Source organism: Homo sapiens, chromosome 13 (assembly GCF_000001405.40).
Source record: "Homo sapiens chromosome 13, GRCh38.p14 Primary Assembly".
NCBI classification, from domain to species: Eukaryota; Metazoa; Chordata; class Mammalia; order Primates; family Hominidae; genus Homo; species Homo sapiens.
Window position 1 is genome coordinate 94,943,932 of NC_000013.11, and position 4,990 is coordinate 94,948,921.

Below are 4,990 nucleotides of genomic sequence, written 5' to 3' on the forward strand. Positions count from 1 at the left end.
TGTTAGATATTTAAAGGACTGTTAGGTAGAGGTATGCTTATATTTATCTATGTAGCCACAGAGGATGAAATTAGGACAAGAGAACTGAAGTCATAGAAGGGAGACTCCTACTCCATTTAAAAAGAATTGTCTAACGTTGAAGCTTCCCAAGAATTGAATGATTGTCTTATGAGAGAGTGAAATTTCCATCATCAGGCTCATTCAAGCTGAAGTCCAAGGGTGTTTTAAAAGGAATTAAACACTGGCTGAGATCAGATATAAGATCAGTCACAGGGAATTTGTTACCTGTGATTTAAGGGGGCCAATGCTGGCAGCTTCAGTGTTAGTCCTCTAGTAATGGCATTTTCAATTGCTGGCATTCCGTTAAGCATCACTTGAGTTGGAAAGGGGGGAACAGAGTTTCTGCTCATCCTATTTGCTGCAGTCAAATATATGTGTGCAACATTGGTAGTGTGTCTTGCAGGAAAAGATCATCTATCATGTCTGTTCATGCAGGAAAAAAAAAAAAGGACAAAAAGCCACTAGTCCGATGATCTTAAAAATCCCTTCAGTTCCTGAGACTCAAGATTCTGCAAGTGGGAAAGCTGGCACAGCTTCAGTCAGGAGAAGTTGGTTGTAGACAATGGCAGAGGTTTAGGAATGAAGTAGCTGGCATCAGAGGTGAGGAGTGGTTTGGCCACATGCAAATTGTCAAGCGGGGAAGGTGGGGCCTCGGTTAGCAAACAAACCAAGGTAGAGACAAAAGTGAAGCTTGACCACATTGAAGAAAGCAGGAGACTAAATTTTGGAGGTGAAATTCAATGAAACCAAGACCTATCCTGGTCTTCACCCGCCTACCTTTCCAAGCATCATCCCCCATCCTCACCCTGTCAGTACCCAGCTGTTCACGGTTCCCTGAACACGAGGAGCACTCCCTTTGCACACGCTGCCCTTCTGCCTAGAATACCATTGCCTCCCTTGTATATCAAGGTTGACCAGACTTTCTCAAGACGTAACTTACACACCAGCTCTTCTGTGGTCTCCCTGAGCCTCTCTAGACAGAGGTAGGCATTTCGTCCTCTGTGTTCTGACAGCACCCTCTGGCATAAGGATTGCATTCATATAATTATTCTTGGTATGTCTGATCCTGCCACTTAGCTGTGAGCCCCTCAAAGCTAGAAACGATGTTCCCTTATTTTTCTTTTCTTTCTTTCTTTCTTTTTTTTTTTTTTTTTGAGATGAAGTTTCACTCTTGTTGCCCAGGCTGGAGTGCAATTGTGAGATCTCGGCTCACCACAACCTCCGCCTCCCAGGTTCAAGCGATTCTCCTGCCTCAGCCTCTCTAGTAGCTGGGATTACAGGCATGTGCCACTATGTCAGCTAATTTTGTAATTTTTTTAGTAGAGATGGGGTTTCTCCATGTTGGTCAGGCTGGTCTCGAACTCCCGACCTCAGGTGATCTGCCCGCCTCAGCCTCCCAAAGTGCTGGGATTACAGGCGTGAGCCACCACGCCCAGTGCTCCCTTGATTTTTCTATCATCAGAGTTTAAATTGTTTCAGATACATTTTTTGGCTCAATGGATATTTGGTGAATGAATAAATGAATGAGTGAATGCGGCAAGGAACAGCAGCACAGCAGAGCCCATCCTCTGGAACCAGATGTTCTCTTTTTTTAGTAAACCATGAAGAAGAGGAGTGAGCACTCATGTGGGCCAAGTAACCCAAACTGTAGAGATTCAAATATTTGGGGGATAAAGAGCCTGGCATGCCATTATAAGAATCTCAAATTTTCCTGATATCCACAGGAGCCTCTGGCACTGTGTTTTGCCAAATAAATATGATGATTCACACTAAATGCATCTCAAATGAGCGAACACATGTATGAATAAATGAATGAAAACCCATTTCATCAAGTGCAGACTGTTTTTCTGGAGTCGAAATGCCTACAATTGCCACCAACCCCCCTCCGCCTCCACTGATAAGCCTTACCCTGCTGCTTCCTAAGACATCAGCCTCCTCTGGTTGGTCTGCTCAGATAGGTGGGTGATTCGGTCTGGTCAGACAGGTTGAAATGGTTGAAATGCCCATCTCTCTCTGTCCCCCGTCTCACTGATCACCAGGTTCGACTCACTCGCCTGAATGTTTTCGTAGCTCCCCTTTCTCACTCACTTCTTACCACCCACATTGCTCTTGGTTTTCTCAACCAGAGAACTGCTATTAAGGAAAGAGCATGTTCTTTAGGACTTCCCTGCTCCAGGCTCAGGTTCCATCCCCTAAAGTTTATTCTTGTCCCCTGGCAACCCCTGGCAATTGCTTTTGTTACTTACTCACTTGTAGTGACCCCACCCTTCTCCTCTCTATTTAATTTGTTGTTGTTCTTCCAGCAAGAGACTTATTGAAAGGAAGCCGCCACTCACCCAGCCCCTGTAATATGGCATCCCCTGTGCTCAGGTCTGAAGACGCCAGGGCAAATGCAACACAGGCCTGCTCTCCAGTGGCCTGAGCTTACCTGGCTGCCCTGCCCCGGTTTAGGCTTGTCATCACCCTGCCTCGTTGGTACTTAATTATCCTCAATCTCTCTCACTCTTTTTTGTTTGTTTGTTTGTTTTTGAGATGGAATCTCACTGTGTCACCCAGGCTGGAGTGCAGTGGCATGATCTCGGCTCACTGCAACCTCCGCCTCCCTGTTTCAAGGAATTCTCCTGCTCATCCTCCCTGAGTAGCTGGGACTGCAGGTACACACCACTATGCCCAGCTAATTTTTTAGTCTGTTTTTAGTAGAGACAAGGTTTCACCATGTTGGTCAGGCTGGTCTCAAACTCCTGACCTCAAGTGATCCACCTGCCTTGGCCTCCCAAAGTGCTGGGATTACAGGCTTGAGCCACTGCACCTGGCCCTGATCTCTTTATAGTGTCACTTTTCCTCAAGATATTGCAAATTCTATTTTCTTCATAACCTACTACAGCAACCAGCTCAATGCTAGAGTCATACCAGGCACAATACATATTTGTCGCCCAAGTTGGAGGGGCAGCTTTTCTTGGGTTGACATGACTCATCCTGGAAAAATAACTCCCTGATCCTTTGAAAAGCAACCTTTATGCTTTTCTTGGATTGGAGGTGAAATGGGGAATTTGCCTCTTTCTCCTTGAAACTTCTCATTAAAGAAAACTAAACTTTCAGAAATTTAAACAGAAATTCAAAGCATCCCATTTTGTCAGTGTATGTCGATGTAATAATATTGTTTATACTCTCTCTTCTAGAAAACATGGAGTCTGTAACATGTTTGAGCCGTGGTTCCTAGTTTCTTTTTCCTTGTCTGTGCCTGGGTTCAGTTTTACATTTGGGTTGGTTTTGATGTCAGAAAGTAGAAGGATATGAGGGAAATAAGCCCGAACCATAATTCAGAAAGATGCTTTCAATACCAAAGGATGTGTATCATCAGCTAACAGTAAAGTTTTTCCCTTTCTCTGCATCTGACTTTGTCTGGGAAGCACTTCTGGTCTCAAGGGAAAAAACAAAATAAAATAAAATATAAGCCACCATTAGGAATATAAAAAAGACTGTAGATAGCTGAAAAACGGATTATGCAACGCAACAGGATGAAATAACCCACAGCACCAAAACCCAGGGCTGCCAGGGATCAATGACCACTGAGCCCATAATGATCCTCTTACATCAAAAGCCCTTTCAAGACATAGCAACATACCTGCCCTGCAAAGACTCTTGAACCAGAGGATAATGTAATCATCAATACACTATCCTTTCTCTTTTGTGAGCACTTTAGAAAAAGCCCAGCAGAGTGGTGACTCGGTATTAAGTGTCGTTTTAAACAATACCTCGAAACCATAATGCAATCTTACTCCTGAAATGTGAAGTATTTGCTGCCACCGTGGGTACACCTGGCACGTCTGGTTGCTAATAGAATAAATCCGTGATTTTCTTTTCACTTGCATTCTCACTTCTTGCCTGAGTAAGCTGCAAATCAGTTGAACTTACCCTTCTTTTCTGTTTTGTTTCAGGGTCTGGTATTTGTTTGTGCTTTATCTTCCCCTACCTCTTAATAAAAAGAGTAAACCAGTCTGCCTGTGAGAGTATTGACTGTGGTTAAGAATGCGGGATTGTGTTGCAAAGAAGCTCAGGCCTGTAATGTTATCACTCAGCAGGACTGGGTCCCATCAGAAGGCACATGGTGTGCCATGACGTAGCTGGTCTTCGACCACAAAAGCAGACTTTTCTCTGTGAATTAGACAAACCACACAAAAGGCAACAATAGCTAGCATAAACACCATTTAATACTATTCACAGGCTATTGAAGAGATGGGCGTTGACTAAGAATTGCTGCAACGCCAAGACATTGTAGTCAGATGAAAAGAGGCCTAATGAACAGGAAGCATCATTTGAGCAGGCTGACAGTAACCATATAACGGCGGGATTGTGGGGCTGGCATTTACCCCAAGGGTCTTTACGGTGAGAAAAATAAAGAGAAATTAAAGCATAAGGAATCCTCTTTGTGGGCACTTAAAGCCCATGAAGCAACACAAGAAGCTATACAATTGTCTTTTCAAGGCTCGTCTGTGCTTTAGATAATTATGAAAAGGAAACAGTTGGGGTGTGCTTGCTTATAGGAGTCTATATGACCCATTGGGAAGACTCTTCTATAAAAACAGATGAAATTTTCACAGCAAAATGAATAATTGTATGAGCTTTCACCTTGTTTTAAGACAGGAAGAACTAACTTCAGCTGGATTAGTCAAGCTATTTCGCCATTTCTGGCAGCCCCTTCTGGGTACACGAGGTATCCGTGGCAAGACATCCTCATTTTTCAACAGGTTCATGAAGAAAAGGAAAGTTAAATAAATCTTTGGAAATATAATGCTTATCTTTAAAATATTTATACCTCTGTCTAATAGATACTCATTTATAGGAATATGACGTAGGGATTTAAAGAAAATACTTTTGAAGCAAATCTTTAATGATAATCATTCTTTGATGTATACTGAGCATTTTGTTA

General features: G+C 43.0%; 1 annotated feature.

The window, feature by feature from the left end:
* Nucleotides 3,924-4,541: an enhancer, noted in NCBI's record as "NANOG-H3K4me1 hESC enhancer chr13:95600109-95600726 (GRCh37/hg19 assembly coordinates)". NCBI's record gives its function as "activates a minimal SCP1, AML or CMV promoter by ChIP-STARR-seq in primed H9 embryonic stem cells {active_cell/tissue: H9 hESC(primed)}" and the evidence as "EXISTENCE:reporter gene assay evidence [ECO:0000049][PMID:30033119]".